This window comes from Homo sapiens, chromosome 6 (assembly GCF_000001405.40).
Source record: "Homo sapiens chromosome 6, GRCh38.p14 Primary Assembly".
Taxonomy (NCBI): Eukaryota; Metazoa; Chordata; class Mammalia; order Primates; family Hominidae; genus Homo; species Homo sapiens.
Genome location: NC_000006.12, coordinates 62,170,081 through 62,192,948, shown reverse-complemented (window position 1 = coordinate 62,192,948; position 22,868 = coordinate 62,170,081). Strand labels below are relative to the sequence as shown.

At 33.9% G+C, this 22,868-nt stretch overlaps 1 protein-coding gene across 7 annotated transcripts in view; it reads left to right on the top strand.

Annotated features, from left to right (window-relative positions):
* The window catches only part of KHDRBS2 (KH RNA binding domain containing, signal transduction associated 2), a 743,556-nt gene that overhangs the window by 93,277 nt on the left and 627,411 nt on the right, over positions 1–22,868 (top strand). For all 7 annotated transcript variants that reach the window (NR_146870.2, NR_146873.3, NR_146874.3 and 4 more), the window contains exon 2: positions 15,637–15,764. Coding sequence is in view for 2 of the 7 variants with exons in the window: in NM_152688.4 (NP_689901.2) it covers positions 15,637–15,764 (128 nt within the window). In the remaining 5 variants the exon portion in view is untranslated. The remainder of the gene's footprint in view (positions 1–15,636; positions 15,765–22,868) is intronic.

The window sequence follows — 22,868 nt, the reverse complement described above, 5'->3', positions numbered from 1 at the left end:
TTTGGCTTCTTGAAATGTACAGGTAAGAAATTAGGAGTAGTATGAGCAACAAGCGTAATGACTGTTTCATTGTGACACTTGCAATGAATGGTCACTGGATAACCAGCAGTTTAAACCAGTGTTGCATCACCTTCTACTTCCCAATAATTTATACACAGTAAGATGCTCTCTATAACATGTGCTGAGTGAATGAAATTATTTGATGAAGAAACTGTGCCCTGGGGCAAGATGTATGTGAAGCAGGTCACATTCAGTTATATTTAAATACCTAGTGCTATTGACAGAGTTGGAATTTTTAACTCTAATGAATAATGGCCCACCTCTATATATTCAGGAAAATTGAGTTTTAAACACAAGGAATGCCTAATGTAATTAGATTTCTGAACATCTTGAAAATAAATTAATACAAATTCAAGCACATCTGCTTGTAGCATTTCTGTAAATTGAGTCTAAATGGTGAATGCCATTTTATATAATCATCACAGTAGAAGTAGGATCAGGAAAAAAGTCTTTTCATTTGAACCAAACCAATGCAACTTGAGTTGCTGATTTTAAATGTGTTGTTTTCTTTTCATTAAGATAGTAAATTTCAAGATATCTTTGGCAACAGTAAAGCCTCTTATTTTTTTACACACACATAGGACATATGTTCTACTCATGTTCTGGAAATAAATGCAATTGAATTTGAATGTGAGAAAATCAGAAATAACTTAGTAATGAGTACAGGTTGTTCCCAATTAATAATTCATTTAAAAAATCAGATTTATTGCTTTTTTATATCAATATCAGATCTACTGATTGATCAGATATATTGAATAAAATAAGCTCTCTGAGAGCTTATTTTCTAATATTTTACATGAAAAAGTTATAATGCATTGCATGTCAATCCAAAACTTTCAGACAGCTTTCTACAATATAACCCAAATTATACTTAACCATTAACATATAAGTAACAAGAGATTATGCTAGGTTTTAAAATGCATAAAATATCACTTTCTAATCACTGATCAATAAGGTTGTTAAAAAAAGTTTTTTTAAATTTGTGTCACCTCTTAGATGTCACTCTTTTGTTGTGGTTTCCAAGATGCGTACATGATATTTAAAAAATCCAGATTTTAAAAATGTATTGCATTTTGTGGAAATAAATATGAATTTTAAAGTTTAGTACCATGTTTTGTGGAAATAAATGTAAGTTTTCTGGTGTAAACAGCAGTGTAAAAATCATTGTGTTGAGAGCCGTGTATGTTTTATGAAATTTTCACATTAAAAACCAAGTGATATTCTTCTAGAAAGATTTATTCAGAGGGACAGGCTGATGGGTGGGCCTGACTGAGTTTAAATTCTAAGTTATCTATTGTAATGAGTGCTGGGAGTGAAAAATAATAAATGTGATATGGTCCTTGGCTTCAAGGAAGTCATAGTCTAATGAGGAAAACACTTGCAAATAGCACATTAAAAAGTGACAAAAGTGTTGCATTTAGAGTACAAAGTGCTAAGGGAGACCTGGGATGGGGCAGTCATGCAAAATGAGTATTAAAACTGGGCCTGCCTTAAAGATGGAGTAATTCTCCACTGGTCAGAGGAAGGAGGGAAGATCATCAGCAAAAGCCTAAGGACTTTGAGAGTATCGTTTGCTCAGAGTATGTATGAGGATAGACTACAACGTGCCTGTTTCAGGATGGCAAGAAAGAAGACTAGAAAGTGGTGAGCAATAAGACTAGAACGGTTGATCAATTTTTAGTGACCAGATAAAAATTAGAATTTAACCTTCAACAGTGAGAAGCAGGTACATGTCAGGGTAGTGACACTCATTCATTCAACAAAGATTTGAATGCTTAGTACAGCCAGGGAATAAACACAGTTCAGATACCATACTCCAACAGAAGAGAGAAAAGTGGAATGCTCAGATCTGTGTTTTAGAAAGACAGCTTGGATGTGGAAGACAAGTTTTATATGGATTTTCAGGGAAACTGGTTGAAGGGGTCCTGCCTATTCAGGTGAGAATGATGGGAAAGTGAATTGAGGCAGTGAGAGAGTATCTGAGTGGAGAAGCTCCATATGAGAGAAGCTCCAGAGATGGAATCAACAGGATTCCTTGACTACTGCATATAGAGTGGGGAGTACCAGGGAGTAACTCTTGCTCACATGGCTGAGATTTCTGGTTTTGTTGTTCTTGGGTGACTTAGGAAGATTGTGGTAAAAGAGAAGATAGTGAAAGAATAGGTTTTAGAGCTAATAGGTTTTAAAGTACAGTTTGAGATGCGCTGAGTTTTATTTGTATTAAAAATTTTAGAATGTAAATATAGAGTAAAATATTGAAAAAAGTATGAAACCCAGGAAGGTAGTTTGGGCTTGGTGTCTAAAAAGATGAAAGATGGTAGATGTGTATTATCGCAATGGGTGAAATCAACTGGAAGTGTCCTTAGCGCAGACGACCTCAACAAAAGGATTTTGTTCCAAATATAAAAGGAAAGGGGAAAATGTTATTTGGTTGAAGGAACTGCAGTACTGATGGTCTCAAGAATTTAGAAAAAGGTTCAGGAAGGCAATGAACCAGGGTAACCCTACTGAGGTGTAGGAGGAAGCTTCATACTGTGGCCACATCCTCTTCACCTGTTCTCTCATAAATCCACTCTAAAGAGTGTCTAAAATTGTTCTTATAAAGATACGCAGCATCTTTCACCTTGCCAATGCCAGTAGTCAAAACTCAGCTTCCATTTAACTATACTTCTCAGTAGGATGAGTCAGTTGATTTCTTTCTTTTTCTTAAGATACTTTCTGCACTTGAATCTTGTGATCTACATTTTCCTGATTTTCTTCCTCTTGCATTCATTGCCCCTTCTTACTTCATTTGCTGGATTCTCATTCTCTTCCTGAACTTTGCATATTAGAGTATCACTGGGCTCAGTCCTTGGCGATCTTCCTTCCTCTCTCCCACTCCTATAAATTCGAGCATCAATCATATGCTAATGACACAAACATTTACATGTCAACCCCCAACCTTTTCCTTAGGCTCCAGAATTCCTCATCCAACTCCTGATTCTACATCTCTTATTAGGTCTCACCTAAGTGTAGCCAAAGTACAACTTACATTTTTCCCAGCCAAGCCTGTTCTTCTGCCAGTCATTTTTATATCTGTAAATGTTGCTACTCCTCACCTACTTACTCAAGCCAAAAACCTGAGAGTCACTGTTGATTTCTCCCCTTTTTCTTAGACTTCCATTCTATCTACAGCAAACCTCTACCTTCCAAATAATCCAACCAATTTGTAGACCTTTACCTCTAACACTTTATCCTTCATCATATCTCACCTGGTCTAGTGCAACTGCCTCACAACTGATCTTCCTGCCTCTGCTCAAATCAGATTAAAACTGTGCTAAAATTCTTCAAAATTTTAGCATTGCACTTAGAAGAAAATAAAAGTTCTGTCTCATGATGTTACTTATTGTTGCATAATAAATTACCTCAAAACCTAAGCGCTTAAAATGGCAAACACTTACTATCTGGCTGTTTCCATAGTTAAGGAATTTTGGAAAAGCCTGGATGCACAGTTCTGGCCCAGAGTCTCTTAAGAAGTGAAAGTATAATAATAATAAAATAAAATAAAAAATTTAAAAAAAAGAAGTGGTGGTCATTTGAAAGCCTTACTGTTGAGAGAGGACTTATTTCTAAGGTGGCTCTCTCACACTGCTGTTAGCAAAAGGCTTCAGTTCCTCACAACATGGACCTCTACATAGGGCTGATTGAATGTTCTCAGGACATGGTACCTGACTTCCCTCTGACGCATGTTCTTTTTCTTTCTTCTTCTTTTTTTTTTGTTTTTTGTTTCTTGGAGACAGACTCTTGCTCTGTCGCTCAGGCTGGAGGGGTCAGTGGCACAATCTTGGCTCACGGCAACCTCCACCTCCCGTGTTCAAGCAATTCTCCTGCCTCAGCCCTTTGAGTAGATGGGATTACAGGCACATGCCACCACACGTGGCTAATCTTTTGAATTTTTAGTAGAGATGGGGTTTCACCATGTTGGTCAGGCAGGTTTTGAACTCCTGACCTCAAGTGATCCACCTGCCTCTGCCTCTCAAAGTGCTAGGATTACAGGCGTGAGCCACCGCACCCAGCCTACTGACACGTTTTCTAAGAGAAAGAGTGAAAAGGGAACCACAGTGTTTCTAATGACCTATTTTCAGAAGTGGTAGACTTTCTGTCCCTTTCTCCCACATTCATGCCACACTAAACACATCACCCTTCTAGCAATTTCTTAAATGTGCCAAATTCTTTCCAGCCTGAGATGTCTTGCACGTTGTTTCATTTTCCTTGAAAACTCTACCCCAGATCTTCATGCATTTATTTCCCATACTTAATTAATGTCTCTGATCAAGGATGACTTTCTCAGAGGCCATTTTTAATCACGCTTATCTAAACATCACTCACTTCTCACCATTTTATATGCCATTACCCTCTTTTACATTTTTCACAACATTTATTTCCATTTGTGACAACATGGATGGACCTGGAGGACATTATGCTACGTGTCACAGAAGGACAATCGCTACATGATTCCACTTACATCTGATATCTAAAATAGTCAAATGCATGGAAGCAAAGAATAGAATTGTGATTACCAGGGGCTGGAGCAAGGGAGAAGTAGGAATTGTTGCTCAATGGATATAATATTTATTATACAAGATGATAAGTTCTAGAGACCTGCTTGATATGGTTTGAATATTTGTCCTCTCCAAATCTCATGATGAAATAGAATCCCCAGTGTTGAAGGTGGAGGCTAGTGGGAGGTGTTTGGGTCATGAGGGCAGATCCCTCATGAATGGATTGGTGCTTTCCCCATGGTAATGAGTGAGCTCTTGCTCTGGTAGTTCACCTGAGAGCTGGTTGTTTAAAGCAGCCTGGTCCCTCCTCCTCTCTCTCTTGCTCCTTGTCTCACCGTGTGACATGCTGGCTCCCCTTCCTTTTCGCCATGACCAAAAGCTTTCTGGGTCTCACCAAAAGCCAAGCAGATGCTGGCACCATGTTCCTACTGCTGACAATCATGAGCCAAGTAAACCTCTTTTCTTTATAAATTACCCAGCCTCAGGTATTCTTTTATAGCAATGCAAATGGACAAATATACTGCTGTGCAACATAGTACTTACAATTAACAATACAGCATTGTGTACTTTAAAATAAGTTAAGAGGATAGATTTCACCTTGAGTATTCTTAACACAAAGAGCAAACAACGTCCCCTCCCCCGCAAAAAAATTAAACCAAACCATAGCACACACACAAAAGAACACAGGGAAATTTTTGGAAATGATGAATATATTTAGTATACTAATTGCAGTGATGGAGTCATGGCTGTATGCATATGTTAAAAGTCATCAAAATATAATAATAAAAATATGTTCAATATTTTGTATATAAACTTACATTAGTAAAACTTTTAAAAAATATCTTTCTGAATTACATTATAATTTACCTATTCATTTACTTTCTACCTCCCTAGACTGTAAGATTGAAGAAGGCACAGATTTTGCTTCACCACAGTGTTCAGTTTCTGGGATGGTGCCTGGGACAATAGTAGGCCTTCAATAAATAATTATTAAATGAAAGAGTGCATGAGTAAGAATATGAATGATTGATATAATGGTTCAGAACCTGGGCTTTATTATTCAAATCTCTTACTTTCCTTGCTGTACAATTGGAAAAATTAATATTCAGGTTTTCCTTTTGTATAATGTAGGTAATATTTGTTTATATCGTCGTGAGTTAATATGAAGATGGAATGATATAATGCATACAAATCACTTGAGCAATTCTTTGCACCAGGTGCAAGTTTAAGGAAACTTGATGTTGTCTTTGCCAGCATGATGGACTGTGGAACTCTGACACACAAAGTGGAATATCAATGTAAGATCTGCTACTTTTCTTATGTAATATGATTATGGTTGCTCAGCAAGGAGAAATATGTGTCCTGAATTTTTTTTTGTTGTGTTGAAATCTATGTGTATTTAACTTAGCAAGAACTAATTCAAAACACTGAATACATTCAAAGAAAGGGACCGAAATGGGACGACTACATGTAGATATATATGGAATGAGTATCAATAAAATGTTTTATTCTTTTAAGAAACCCATTAAAGTTCTTAACATTAAAATTTAAGAATTTGTGTCTGAGTCTCAACACAGTTAAAAATAAATAAATCTTTAACTCTTGCCTTTTGTGAGGTACCACTGCTTAATGTTAGATGACAATACTATCCAAAAGATTCCAACATTTTTTTGATGATAGTTTCAGCAAATTTATACCACACCCTATTCTTATCATCACCATAGCTGCATTTTCTCCTTCATTTTGTCCTATTTCATATTTAAATGAATATGTATGATATTCCTAGCATTTATATAATGATATTAGTCTGATAAAGGACACATTCAAATGTAAGTCATGGGTATACCATCAATAATTAACAATCTACTTAAAGACAAGATGTAAGCTTGTGAAATACATGACATTGACTGTCACGATGTTTGGTTTTAATGATACAAAACTTCAGTGAAGTCTCATGTCCAGCCCCCAAATGCAAGTAAATAAAATGATAATAGCTAGTATTCGTTATGCTCTTATTGTGTACCAAATGCTATTCTACGTACTTTTGAAAATTTGACTCACTTAATCCTTACAGCCGTTTTAGGAGGATATTATTCCCGTTTTAAACTAAGCAATGTGATGCAGAAAACTTAAGTAAACTAAGTAAATGAACTAGAATATGTGCAGAAATTGATCATTGCCTAATACATAGAAAAGGCTTAGAAAGCAATAACTGTCATCATCACTTGTTGGCAAGTGTCACACAGTTAACAAGTGGCAGATACAATACTGTATCCAGAAGCCTGCATTCTTAAGAATATACTAGGATGCCCCTCATAAGATTTGATTCCCACATTAGGGTGAATGGGTGGGGAGGAACAATAGAAGTCCAGAAAGCTTAAGTGACTTGTTCAAGGCCACTGTGTTAGGTTGTGGTCTTATCTTATACGCAAAATAGTACAACCTGAATATTTAACATACGAATTAGGTGGTAGGAGTTTATAAAGAGTGAAATTTCTGAGTTACTCTGTACAACTCCATGAGGGAGAGGAACTGTAAGCCAAGCCTTGAAGTGGTTATAATTTGGATAAGCAAACAGGAAATGGGGATTGGAGTATCAGATAGTTTCAGAATTTTAGTGGGTTTAGGGCATTAAAATAAATGAGTAGTGATTAAAACAGTTAACTATCTTATGATTAATTATCATTGAAAATAAATGCCTGGATCATATTTAAATTGTCTAGCAGTTAATGTCTCTATTTCTACTTCAATAATCAAAAATAATTACTTGTGAAGATACTTAATATTATTTAGCACTGATTTGTCATTAATGGATCTGACAGTCTCTTATGCCTTCAATAAAAAGGAAAATATGATTCTATATTCAAGAACAACTTTCCATCCCTTAAATTGTTGTGGAATTAGACCAGTATTCACTAAACTATGACCTGCTGACCTTTAGCCTGGGAGATCCATGACTTAGGACCATCTGTTTTGCTAGCAACATAGTTCAGATTTAAGGTTAGCATGTTATCATTTAAGGTTTGTTCTGTGAGAAATTACCCATTTTATTTTTCTATGATGTAAAACACAGGTTTAGGGTATAATTTCCTATTCTGCTTTGGCCTAATAACCGAGGCTATAACGATGGGTAAAATAAACTTCCTGCTAAGAGGTTACAAAATACAGGGAGACAAATGTGAGGTGTAATAATATCAAAACAATGCAATAATTATTGCCAGACAACAATGCACAAAATGCTAATCGTTATAATAACATCATTTGAAAGATTTACTTTATTTTAAAAAGATAAGTAAACAGAGGCTAACTAACTTGCTTAAGATCATGTAGCCAGCAGGTGACAAAGATATTTTAGCACCCAGATTTAACTCCAAAAACCGCAAAGGGAGCTCAAAGAAATTTTGCATTAGTGTGGACTGTTGGATTAATATTATTAATGCAGCATAATAATTTTAAAGTGGCATTTAATCACATACCTATTTCTGAGGTGAATTTGAGGCACCTTATATAAAAGCAAGTACAAGATAAAAATAAAGTATTCCTGCAGAATAAAACAAATAAAAAGTTGTAAATATGATGAAAAGAAAAAGAATTATGCAAGAAATCCTTATCTGAGGAAAGTTAGAGCTATTTGAAGACAGACTTAGCCTTGAGCTTCCTAGAAGTAGTTAAGGCAAAACATGAACTTTAATTGCCCACTCCCTGGAAAATGTTTTATATGAAGACAAATTTCTAAATGGTATTTTAAAGCAAAGATTGGCTTCTGTTTAATCCCTTTTGTTTGCATTATTAAATGTAAAGCTACATTAAGGACTCCTCAATTTTTACATTCTTTTTCTCTCTTTTCTTTTATGTATTTATAATATGTATTATATATGCTCTTTGAACTCCCGTTTCTTTATTTGGAAAGTGGGATAATTGTTACAGACTCTACAGGGTTATAATGCAGATATTCGTGGCAAAGTTCCATTGATGTTTCTTCACCCATTTTTTGATACTGAAATTTGAAATTTTCTATCTTTCTCGTGAGTATCAAAGAGGTAAAATTTGTGCAAAGTCGTTTCCTTGTATTCTGTGATTCATGTTAGGTTTTTATTTCATGACAATTGTAGTCTATTTGCCCTTTTATTCTGGACTTAGATTTCGAAGTGATGGAAGCTTATTATAATATAGTATACATAATCTCTAAATTTTCATGTGAAAATTTGTAAAAGGAAGATGAAAATTATTCTTCTGTGTTGCATTATTCTATTCTATTAACACTAATTATTAAAAGTTTGGTTCTGTATTCAAATACAAAAAGCAAAATGCATTTTTACTTGGAAACTAAAAAAGCATAATTTCAGAGTGGAAAAAAGTGGTATAAACTTTACTTGGTGATATTATTTAAATATAAGTTGTCCGTGTTCCATTTATAATGAGTTTTAATTACCAGGTAGTTAAGTATCATTTGTAAAATAGTTAAAGTTCCTTCCAAAAATATTCGTAAAGAAAAGTTAGGTGTTTTACAACCTCTCATTGAATTTTGATCATAGATGAGCAAAAATTCAAAAACATTGAATACTGGCATTCTACCCTATTGTTATATTTCAAGGTCATTTTCATTTCATTAACAAAAAATATTTTCTTCACAGACGAATTCCATGTTCTTCATTAAATACATTCTAAAATTATATCTTGCATGTAAATGTTCTTTTATATAGTGTCAAAAGATTATTTTTGAAGTCTTCTCGATAATTAAATGTATCTGGATTCTGAAAATTTCCATAGAACTAGAAACTTCTTTTTGCACATATTGTAAATTTGTCTCTTCTCTTTATTTTTAATTTTAGGAATATAAATATCTGGAAGACCATGTAATTCACCCTCTATAAAGAAATTAGGCATAAATAGTTCTATGTAATTGGTACTTGATGTACATATTTAGTACTATTTAATATTTAGTTCTATATAGCTCTATGTTGTGTTTGAAATGACTGGGAAACACTTCATTTATTTAAATTTACATAAATTTTGACTTTAGAGGAAAATATATAATTTTAAAATCCATCTTAAATAACCAACTTAAAATATAAGCAGATAATTGTGATTTCTGCGTTTGTGCATGTGTAATTATGTCATATATATTTAAAAATATGAGCCTCAACAATGTGCCAATCATAAAAAGAAATATAATCACCACAAAATAACTTGTGTTAAGCATCAAAATACAGACACAATCTTAATATGTTAATTTTATAGCTATTAAGGGTTCTAAAATCTTAAGCAAATTCTATTTTGAGGTCCGATAAATACTAGAAGTGTGTGGGAAGCCAGTGTTAAACATTTAGTGTAGCTAGTTCAGGAAGTATGAATTTTGTTGCAGGAAAAAAATCACATGGGTTAAGAAAGTAACTTGACAAGGTAAAGATTCACATATTCAAATAGCTCCTTTCACTGAAATATTACTCGTATTTTCAGAAAGAGTATTAAATAATCTTTACCTTGACACTGAATTTTGAAATTATAGACTATACTAAACTATACATATAGGGGAGGTATTAAAAATATTTTTGAAAGAGCTTCAGCAAAATGAAGAAACATTCTTAATATAAAAGAATTATATAGTATGACTTGCCAGTCCACGCAATTGCATCTCCTATTTTCTATAATCCTTTATTGTAAAACAAAACAAAATAACAAAAAACAAAACCTTCAAAAAATTCATCCACTTTATTGAGATATGGCTGACATACAAAAAGCTGTACATATGTAATATATACAGCTTGATGAATTTGGAGAGAAGTATACCCCTATGAAACCATTAACAACCAATACCATAGTCATTATCTATCACCTCAAAAAGTTTCATCCCACTACATTTATTTATTTTTGTGGTAAAACACTTAATACAAGATCTACCCTCTTAGCAAATTTTTAAGCCAACAATACAGTAATGTTAACTATAGGCACTATGTTGTACAGTGGTTCTCTAGGACTTGTTCATTGTTTACAGCTGAAACTTTGTATCTCTTAACCAACACTTCCCTGTTTCCTCCTTCTCTCAGTCCCCGTCATCACCATACTTCTTGCTTCTATGAGTTTGACTATTGTAGATTCCTCATATATAAATTTATGGTCTCTTAGTCTGTTAGGACTGCTATAATAAAATACCATAAATGGAGTGCCTTACAAACAATAAACATTTATTTCTCACAATTCTAGAGGCTGGAAAATCCAAGAAAATTCAAAATCTTGGAAAATTCCAAGATCCAGTAGGTTTGGTTTCTGGTGGGGGCTTATTTCCTGCTTCATAGATGATGCTTTTTTCTTGTGTCTTCACATTGTTGAAGGGGTGAATGAGCTCCCTTAACTTACTCATTTATTTATCATAGCTCTGAAGTTTAGGAAGTCCAAGATCTTGGTGCTGGCAGATTCAGTATCTGGGTAGGGGCCCACTTTCTGTTTTGTGGATGCTGCCATGTAGCTGTCTCCTTACCTTCTAGCTGTGTTCCCATGGTGGAAGTTGTGTTGGGGGCTCTCCCTCAGGCCTCTTTTTTAAGAGCATGAATCTCATTCATGAGGGTTCCATTCTCATGAAATAATCACCTCCCAAAGGCCTAACCTTTTAATACTGTCATCTTGGAGTCAGGATTTGAACATATGAATTTGGTGGGGGCACAAACTTTCAGACCATAACAACTAGGTCATATGGTAGGTTAATTTTTTTTAAGGAATCTCTATACTGTTTTTCATAGTTAGTGGATTCACCAGTTTACATTTTCATCAATAATGTACAAGGATTCCCTTTTATCCACATCCTTGCCAACTTTCTTTTTTCAATAATAGCCATCCTAACAGGTGTGAAGTAATAATTCATTGTTGCTTTGATTTGCATTTCTCTGACGATTAGTGATGTCCAGCATCTCTTCATATTGCCATTGTCCATTTGCATATCATCTTTGGAGAAATGCCTATTCAGGTTCTTTGCCAATTTTGAATTCATTATTTGGTTTCTTGCTATTAAGTTGTAGGAGTTCCTTATGTATTTTGGATATCAGATCTATTATCAGATATATGGTTTTCAAATATTTCATTCCATTCTGTAAGTCACATTTTCATTTTGTTGACTGTTTCTTTTGCTGTGTAGAAACTGTTTGTTTGATATAATCCCACTTGTCTATTTTTGCTTTTGTTGCTTATGCTTTTGTGATCATAGCTAAGAAATTATTCCCCACACCAATGTCAAGAAGCATTTACCCCTTTTTCTTCCAGGACTCTTACAATTTCTGGTCTTATGTTTAAGTCTTTAATTCACTTTGAGTTGATTTTTTTTTTTTTTGTGCAGTGTAAGAGAAGAGTCCAATTTTATTGTTGTGCATGTGGACATCCAGTTTTCTCAACACTATTTATTGAAGAGACTTTTTTTCTCCCTTGTACATTCTTGGCACCTGTGTCAAAGAACAATTGAACATACATGTATAGATTCATGTCTGGACTCCATGTTATGTTCCACTAGTCTATATTTCTGTTTTTATGCCAGTATAATACTGTTTTGATTACTATGACTTTATAATATATTTTGAAATTGGGAAGTGTGATGTCTCCAGTTGTGTATTTTCTCAAAATTACTTTGGCCATTTGAAGTTCTTTTATCATTTTATATAAATTTGGGGATTATTTTTTCTATTTTTGTAAAAAATGTCATTGGGATTTTGACAGAGATTGAACTGAATCTTTAGGTTATTGGGGTATTATGGACATTTTAACAATATTAATTCTTCCAATCTATAAACATAAAGTGTCTTTTCATTTATTTTTGTCTCCTTTGATTTATTTCATCAATGCTTTTGGTTTTCAGCGTACAAGTCGTTAACCAGCTTAACTAAGTTTACTCCCAAGTGTTTTATTCTTTCTGATGCTATTTTAAATAAGATTGCTTTCTTAATTTCTTTTTTGGATAGTTTGTTGCTAGTATATAGAAATGGAACTGATTTTTGGATGTTGATTTTATATTTTGCAACTTTCCTGAATTCACTTATTAGTTCTAATAGTTTTTACGTGAAGTCTTTAGGCGTTTCCTACATATCAGATCATGTCAACTGCAAACAGATATCTTTATTTTTACTTTCCTTATTTGGATGCCTATTTTTCCCCTTGCATAATTGCTCTGGTTAGGTCTTCCAGTAGTACGTTGAATAGAAGTTGTAAGACGGGGCATCCCCACATTGTTCTGGATCTCTGGAACATGTAGTGTTTGGTTTTCTGTTCTTGTGTTAGTTTGCTGAGGATGATGGTTTACTATGCAGTCATAAAAAATGATAAGTTCATGTCCTTCGCAGAGACATGGATGAAGCTTTCTTTGGTTTTAAACTCAGGCAAGTTTGGCATATACCATTTTGTTACTATGCATTTGACAAATACAAGTATTGATCTATTAGTCATGGAGATATGCCAAAGAAGACAAGATAACTCCCTGAAAGTATTAGGAGGGCAAAATAATACCAAAAAACTTCAGAAGAAAATTGTAGAATTGAACAGAAATAGCAGTGGAAATGATATTTCATTTAACTCCATTTCTTGATGGAAAGGTTATTAGAATTAATCCTGGCCTGATCAAATTGCAGATGTCTAAAAAAGCCTAAGGTAGTAGTTTTGTGGTTGACAAATAATTTCAGACAAATTCAATTTATTTTTATGAAAAAGTAACAAGGGAGAAGCCATATGTATTATAGATCAGGAATTGAGTCAGCTTCTTCACTGTGTTCCACATTACGATTACCTCAGCAAGCTACAAAGTATGACATTATGTAGGTGTATACACCCATAGGGCAGTGATCAAAAGTTTATTCTTAGTATCAGAGGACATGATGAATGGATTTTCTTTGCAATTATCATAATTGTGGTTGTATTAATTATATAAGGGATGGAAAGGTTGGAATAAAGTGATTTTCAATTTAACAAGTCAGTTAGTTAAAGTGGCTTGTTAATACTTCCATGTAGAATATAGGAATCTGATGTTATCACACTAAGTAGAAATTATAGACATATAACTTATTTTCAAACAATTCAGTTTAGTTCAAGATACTTGTCTTTAGGGAAATTGTACCGTGTAACTGATAAGATGATTATAAATGACTTCGTAAAAATTATGCAGTGTAGATTTCACTCAGGTATTACCTGGGTAAGTAATGTAATATTACTCCAAAATAATTCTTTTAAATTCCACACAGCCCAAATAAATAGTATGCGAAAAGATTACTAATTGAAATGTTTTAGGAATTTTTCTTTAAGCCATTTGAAAACATTTGGGGGAAAAATGTTAGTTAAAGATAGAATAACAAAAAACAAAACTATTAGATAAAATATATATTCCCCTTACCTTTGGAAATAGTCAGACCTTTAAAAGATAATTGTTGTAAAATGCAATATAAATAAATTTATATGAAACATGTTCATACTTAATAACTATCATCACCTTTTCTCTACTCCAAAATAACAAAAGTATAATGTTTTGTTCTATCCATAGCAAAAGTAAAACACTGTCACATTCTTATCTTAGTTAGTATTTTAGTACATTGACTAAGAGCAAAGAACAAAAAGAAATATTTACTGATTATGTTATGATCATTATAATAACTATATAAAAAACATAAAGGTAATTTTTAAAATGAATTTTTAACAATTCTCCAAAACACTTATTTTACATAGTGCATTGCATGAGATGACTGTAGTTGTAACTACACAGTCTTTTAACGTCTCATTCCTACTTTGTCAGCCTCGTTTCTCAACTAGACAAATGTAAGTTGGTTTCCTTTTTTGCTTGCCTTCTGCTGTGATTGATTTTGCATATTACATACTATGTTATCTTTAAAAATAAAAATACAATGTGGCTGCCTTCCTTTACTCTTCAAAGTGATCCAGAGGCTTACCATTGCAGTCACAATATAAAGCAGAAAACATCATGTATTCTACAGGTTCTTACATGATCTGTCCTATAATCACTTACCAAGCCTTTTTTCCACATTCACTATTCTTCAGCCACACAGGCTTTCTTGCTTCTTCTATTCCAAGAGCAAGCAAAGCTTGGTTTTCATCAGACTGTTAAGCTCTTCTTAGTCTTCTCATGGCTTATTCTTCTCTGTCATTCAGGGCTTTGATCAAATATCACCCTTCAAATCTGAAGTAATAGCCACTGCTTGAGTCTCCTTTGTATTCTTAACAGCATATTGTGTTTATTATTTGCCCCCAGCCATAACTGTATGTGTGCCCATATATTCATTTTCTCACTGTTCCTTTTCCACATTAGAATATAGAGTCTATAAAAACAGAGACATTTTATTGTTTTCTGTTGTATTTCTGGTACCTAGTAGAGATTTAATATTTTTTATGGAATAAATTGATTCAAAAATGAAGGAGTGGATAAGTATGCTCCAAAATATCGAATTTGGTAATATTCTAATATTTTTCTTAAACACCTATATAATGTCTTATTGATGAATATGAATGTTAGCATTTATAGATTTAATCATTTATATGACTTTTCTATGATTCCTAGTGAAATATCATGCAATTTCTCTTTACTACCTATTTTAGCTAACTGAATAATTACCATTTTAATTATTTTTATTTTCTTAGGAATAATTCTGAGTAAAAATAAAGCATATATCCTTAAAATGTATTTTGTTCTATTTATTGCTCCTGGAAAAAATTAAGTTTGCTAAAATAGTTTAAATAGTCAAAGGGCATATATTACCTTTTTGTTGTGTTTGAAGATATTAAAAATTAATTAAATTCATCAATTTTTTCACAGAAGACACAGTCACATCTTCAATTATCGCTTTTTAGTTTGAGTTGACAGAGGTTCTCTTACATACAGTAGCAGCATTCACATAACTGTTGGTGAGATGCTGTTTCAGGCCTTTTATCAATATTCATCAAAATCTTATTTGAGAAGAGGAGTAATATGAATATTATTTATGATAACATTTTTCAGCATATTTATGATAACATTGTTCCTCATTTCACTTGTTTTCTTCTTGTGATTTTCTTCCAGAAATTGAAAAGTTTCAAGGTTCTGATGGAAAAAAGGAAGACGAAGAAAAGAAGTATCTTGATGTCATCAGCAACAAAAACATAAAGCTCTCAGAAAGAGTACTGATTCCTGTCAAGCAGTATCCAAAGGTACTACCATATATACTTTGTTCTCATATAATTGATTTAGAAATGATAAAAGAAGACGGTATTTTAATTATTCACTTTTATAAAATAAATATTTGAAGCTTCATAATGTAAGTGTATGCAAGCACATGATACTGACATAGGGGAAGGAAAACTTTTGAAAGTGCAATGGTGAGGGTAATTTTCAACTGAAGGCTACAGCATTTTTGTTCTGTGAATGTAGGAGGCATAATCAGATATTTTAATCATTTATTCAAAATATAAATGATATATCAATTTTTCCAAATATGTACACCCACTTGATTATCTTTGGTTCATGTTAAAATGTATATCCTTACTATAAAACGGAGTAGAGTTAATAATACTAAATATGTAACATTAGAAAATCAGCAGGGAATTATTACTAATATATCTAAGAAAGTCACATGGTGGTTATTAGACTCTTAGATTATAACCTATAGTCTTCTATAATCAAAGTTTATTCATAAAATAATTATGATATCATTCTTAATGTTACATCTTTCTTTAAACTATTTTTTCACCAATAGATCATTGATTATAAAAGATAGCATTCAGTGGCATGGTTTTATCAATTATATTCATACATTTCAATGGGTAAACAGAGGGATTTTTTTTGGTCAAATGAATGAAGGAAACTAAAATGTAAACTCAAAGATTCAAGCTGATAATTTACTTTCTGAAGAGTGAATGTGAAGCAAGGACCATGTAATTATCCTAATAGTAACGATTACAGAAATAAATGCTCTGGTTTACCAATTGTCTTCTAATATGATAAACTTTAGTAAATATAATTAACTAGATGCTTTGTCTACAATTATTTCAAACAGGGATAAAATTGTTAAAGCCCAGCAAACCATAAAATTTATCTTTGAGATGAAGTATTTTGGGCATGGAATTTTTTTGAGCTAGACTCTATTGCATGAAAGCTGTGTTACATAGGTATATGTTTTTAAAATAAACTTTATTAGATTTGCTTTATAATCATGTTCTCTTGAATATTAAATTGGGCAGTCTTAGAAATGTACATGAAAAATTTGCATAGTAGTGAAATAAGGTAGAAATATGTTGGAGTATAAAGAATAATGTGTCCTTTTTCACTTGATCAATTAACCAGTTACAGTCTTGAATAGAAGTTTCTTTTCATAAATCATACATTTAAATATGGTATAACTTGATGATGTTTCTTGGAATAACATATTTTTATCTCTGGATATGGGAAAGTCAATGACAGACTTAATACCTGCCTCTAAATAAAAATGTAGTTCTATAGTCTCTGATCAAATTAAGCTGGCAAGGTATGTAAGGCATTTAAAGTCTTGATGGCTCTTTAAGTTCCCATATGAGTGGTTTTATGCTGATTATTACCAGATCTATGTTTGATTCAGAATGATGAATACCGAAATAAGAATATTCTATGATGTCAAATTTTTGTGTGAAGTTTTATTTTGTAATGTATAAGAAAATGCTCCAACAATAAAACTGCTTATTCTTAACTGCCGTGGACCACGGATCACCAGCAAACTATTGTCTCTCTTATAATTTTTAAAATCATGGAATGCTTAGGCTGGAACTAATCTTGGAAATCACAGAATATATAAAACTTTTATTTTACAGATGAGGCAACTGAAAAAGTATGAATTGCTCAAGGTCATGCTTCTGTTATAGATGGAAATCTTTAGTGCAGTTACTATAATTTTAGATTCTTCATTTTCGGTGAACCATTACATTTTTAACTTGACTGATCATGCCCACATATTTGCATTACTTTTTCATGTTAAGTGTGGAAGAATGTGAAAAATGATAACACCTGATGTTTAATATAATAGTTTTATGGGATAGTCTCAAATAACAATTCATGCTTGAGAAAATTTACCATTTCTTTAACTTATGAATAGCCTGCCAAACTCCTTTATTTTTAAAGGAATATTCATTTCACCTAATTATCACACATAAGATAACTTTAGAGCTTTTTGATAGAAAAAGAGTGAAATTCTGAGAAGCAGATTTATACTCGCTTATCAAAGTTGACCTACCTTGTTCTGGTTTTTATAGTACAACAATAAATCATAATATTTTGAAAACAAACTATGTCTTATTATATTTAATAATCTTTTGAAAACAAACCATATTTTATTACAAAAGTTGTGATTTTTTTCCTGCTGTTCATTTTCCACTTCTTAGAAAAATATCAGTGAGATAGTTAAGATTATGATCACTAAACTTCATCTGTATTTGATGTACATTTATGATCTGTAAAATATGTGATGTGGTGTAATACTATGAGCTGTTAAGCAGAACACAACAGTATTTATGGATTTAAAATTTAATCTTTTATAATAAAAAAGTGATTTATCCTTCAGGGGGCCACACTGGTGAAAGACTTCTTTTATACAGCTTTCTCTCAGAACCATTTCTCCCCTTGACAACTGCTGTCTGTACCAATAATTAATGTGATGATGACACAGTCCTCTCAAAGAGCAATAAATGACTATGGGAATTCTTGGGGAAATGGCCCTCTCAAGACTTTACTACATGACTTTTTTTGGATAGATTGTGTTTCAGTTACTCTCCAAATTCAAGTTAATCTGCTGACTTAGTTGAATGCTACAAGAAATTGAATGAAGTTTAAAATTTAATTTATAAAAATTATAAAAATGCTCTTTAAGAATGATTTATCTAGCCCTGGTGCTTTACGTTTAATAATTTAACTTGGGGAAATATGTCATATTATAATATTAAATTATTTTGAGCAGTTTTTCGTATTTGGCTTTATATTTTTATAATATAAATATATAATTCTCATTATAGAGATCTTTCACCTTTTTGTTTAACTGTATTTCTAGTTTTTTTATGGCCATTGTGAATGGGATTGCATTATTGATATGATTCTTAGCTTTGATGTTGGTGTATAGAAATGCTACTACTGATTTTTGTACATTGATTTTGTATCCTGAAACTTAGCTTAAGTTCCTTATCAGATCTAGGAGCTTTTGAGAAGAGACTATGGGGCTTTATAGGTACAGTATCATATCATCTGAAAATAAGGATAGTTTGGCTTTCTCCCTTTCTATTTGCATGTCTTTTATTTATTCTTCCTGCCTGATTTCCCTGGCCAGAGTTTCCAGTATTATGTTGAATATGAGTAGTGAGAGAGGGTGTCACTGTCTGTTCTGGTTTTGAAGGTGAGTGCTTCCAGCTTTTGCCCATTCAGTATGTTGGCTGTGGGTTTTTCATAGATGGCTCTTATTATTTTGAAATATATTCCCTCAATGCTTAGTCTGTTCAGGGTTTTTAACATGAAGGGATGTTGAATTTTATTGAAATAATTTTGTGTGTCTATTTAAATGATCATATGGTTTTTTATTTTAATTTGTGTGAATAATCACATTTATTGATTTGCATATGTTAAGCCAACCTTGCTTCTCAGGGATAAAGCCTACCTGATTGTGGAATATTAGCTTTTTAACCTGCTGCTGGATTTGGTTTGCTAGTATTTTGTTGAGGACTGTTGCATCTACGTTCATCAAGGATATAGGCCTGAAGTTTTAATAGTTTTCTTTGTGTCTCTTCCAGGTTTTGGTATCAGGATGATGCTGGACTCATAGACTGAGTTAGAGTTTGGAATAGTTTCAGTAGGAATGGGACCAGCTCTTCTTTATACATCTGGTAAAATCTGGATGTGAATCCAACTGGTCCTGGGCTTTTTCTGGTTGGTAGTCTGTTTATTACTGATTCAATTTTGGAACTCATTATTGGTCTGTTTAGGGATTCAGTCTCTCCCTTGTTCTATCTTGGGAGGTTGTATGTGTCCAGGAATTTACCAGTTTCTTCCAAGTTTTCTAGCATATGTGTGTATAGAGGTGTTTTTAATAGTCTCTGAAGGTTTTTGTATTTCTGTGGGATCCCTAAAGTGGTAACGTCCCCTTTGTTATTTGTTTATGTTTACTTGGATCATCTCTTTTTTTTTTTTCTTTATTAGTCTAGCTAGTGGTTTATCTTATTTACTCTTTCAGCGAACCAACTCCTGGACGCGAACATTTGTGTTTTTTGCATGTTACAACTTCCTTCAGTTCAGGCCTGGTTTTGTTTATTCCTTGTCTTCTGCTAGCTTTGATGTTGGTTTGCTCTTGTTTCTCTACTTCCTCTAGGTGTCATGTTAGGTTGCTAATTTGAGATCTTCCTAGTTATGTGATATGGGCATTTTGCACTATAAACTTTCTTATTAATAAGGCTTTAGTTGTGTCCCAGTGACTCTTGTACGTTCTATCTTTGTTCTCAGTAGTTTCAAAGAAATTCTTGATTTCTGCCTTAATTTCATTGTTCACTCAAAAGTCATTCAGGAGCAGGTTAATTTCCACGTAATTCTGTGATTTTGAGCAATCTTCTTAGCATTGATATGTATTTTTATTGTGCTGTGGTCCAAGAGCATGCTTGGTATGATTCCAGGTTTTTTTTTTTTTTTTTTTTTCAGTTTGCTGGGGATTGTTTTATGGCCAATTGTGTGGTCAATTTTAAAGTGCCATGTGCAGAGAGAAATATATATTTTGAAATTTTGGGGTAGAGAGTTCTTTAGATGTCTATTAGGTTCATTTAGCCAAGTGTTGAGTTCAGGTTCTGAATATCTTTGTTAGTTTCTGCCACGATGATCTGTCTAGTACTGTCAGTGGTGTGTTGGAGTCTCCCACTATTGTTGTGTGGTTATCTAGGTTTCTTTGTAGGCCTCTAAGAATTTGCTTTATTAATCTGGGTACTCCTATGTTGCATGCATATATGCTTAGGATAATTAAGTCTTCTTGTTGAATTGAACCCTTCTATTATATAATGTACTTCTTTTTCTCTTTTGATTTTTGTTTGCTTAAAGTTTGTTTGTCTGAAATTAGAGTAGCAACCCCTGATTTTTGGTTTGTTTGTTTGCTTTCCATTTGCTTGGTAGATTTTTCTCCATCCCATTACTTTGAGCCTATGGATGTCATTGCATGTGAGATGGGTCTCTTCAAGGAACATACAGTTGGGTCTTGCTTTTTTATCCAATCTGCCGTTCTGTGCCTTTTAGTTGGGGCATTTCACCCATTTATATTCAAGGTTAGTTTGGATATGTGTGATTTGATCCTGTCATCATGTTATTAGGTAGTTATTATGCAGACTTGATTGTGTAGTTGCTTGATAGTGTAAATGGTCTATGTACTTAAGTGTGTTTTTGTGGTGGTGCATAATGGTCGTTTGTTTCCATATTTAGTATTCTATTAAGGTCCTCTTGTAAGGCAGGTCTGGTATTAATGAATTTCCTTAGCATTTGCTTGTCTCAAAAGAATCTTATTTCTCCTTTGCTTATGAAGCTCATTTTGGTAGGAAATGAAATTATTGGTTGTAGTTTATTTTCTTTAGGAGTGATGAATATAGGCCCTCAATCTCTTCTGGCTTACAGGGTTACTGCTGATAGGACTGTTGTTAGCCAGATCGGGTTTCCTTTGTAGGTGGCCTGCCCCTTCTCTAGCTGCCTTTAATATCTTTTATTTTATTTTGACTGAAAATCTGATGACTATGTGTCTTGGGGATGGTCATCTTCTATAGTATCTTACAGTGGTTCTCTGCATTTCCTGAATTTGGATGTTGGCCTCTCGCAAGGTTGGGGACATTGTTGCGGACAATATCCTCAAATACATTTTCCAAGTTGCTTGCTTTCTCTCTCTCTTTCAGGGATGCCAGTGAGTTGTAGTTTTGATCTCTTTACATAATCCCATATTATAAGAGGTTTTGTTCATATTTGTTTATTCTTTTTTTTTTAATTTTTGTCTGACTGAGTGGATTTGGACAACCAGTGTTTGAGCTCTAAGATTCTTTCCTCAGCTTGGTCTATTCTGTTGTTAATACTTGTGATTGTATTATTAAATTTTTGTAGTCCATTTTTCAGCTCTATCAGATTACTTGGTTCTTTTTTTGTATTCCTTAGATTCCTTGGAATAGATTTTGACTTTCTCCTGAATCTCTATGATCTTCATTCCTATCCATACCCTGAATTCTGTATCTGCCATTTCACCCAGTTCAGCCTGGTTAAGAACCATTGTTGGGGAACTAATTAAGTTGTTTGGAGGTAGGAAGACACTCTGGTTTTTTGAGTTGCCAGGGTTCTTACACTGGTTCTTTCTCTCTGTGTGGGTAAATGGTCCTTTAATATTTGAAGTCACTGTCCTTTGGTTGGTTTTTTTTTTTTTTTGCGTTTATCTTCTTTGATGCCCTTGGCATTTTGACTTTGGTATAAGGCGGGTTCAGTCAACTGGCTTTGATTCTGGAATATTTCAGGGGGCCACAGCTCAGTTCTGCACTCCTGGGCTACATGCTCTTACCTTGAGTGGGCTGGTACCCAGGTCCCCATCTTTGTTCTCTGGCCCCTTGAGGTTTAGGAACCTGCTGTGCTGGGGAGGATAACGTGATCCTGGTTTGTGGCCACAACTGTTTGATGGGGAGTGCCAGCCAAAGTACTTCATCAGGGTGGTGGCAGTGGGATCCATGGTTGTTCTCATGTGCCAGCAGCCATGGTGGTATAGCAGGGTGCACATGTGTTGGCTGGGATATCCTGGCAAAATATTTCAGTCCTGTATTTTTTGGCCACAGTCCAGTAGGTGGCACTTAAGAGTGTTAGCCAGCGGATAGGCTCTTACTGTCCTGCGTGGTTCTTCTGTTTTTTGGCACAGTTGGCAGTAGTTCTCTGTGATGCTTTGGAGAGGGATGGCCCACTCACACAGTCTGCTCCCAGGCCTTGGAGGAGCCCCCTTCAATCAAGCTCCATCCCTGCGTTTCTTCTGCTGGATGTTTTGGTCCATGGGGCTTTCTCAGGTAGCGGCAGTGGTCCATAGACAGGCTGTAGTTGGCCTTGTGGAGGGAGACATGCCCTGATCCTCCACCAGCCTGTGAACACAGGTGTCTCACTTCTTTCAGTGAAGGCTCCTCCCTGCTTAGTCACCAACCAAGCTGGCAGGTCCCACTCAGCTAGGTGCTGTGGGAGTGGGTGGGGTCAGATGACTGTCTGGGTGCTTCCCCAGGGAACACGATTGTGCCTTCCCACAGATTTTGGACAGAAGTAAGACA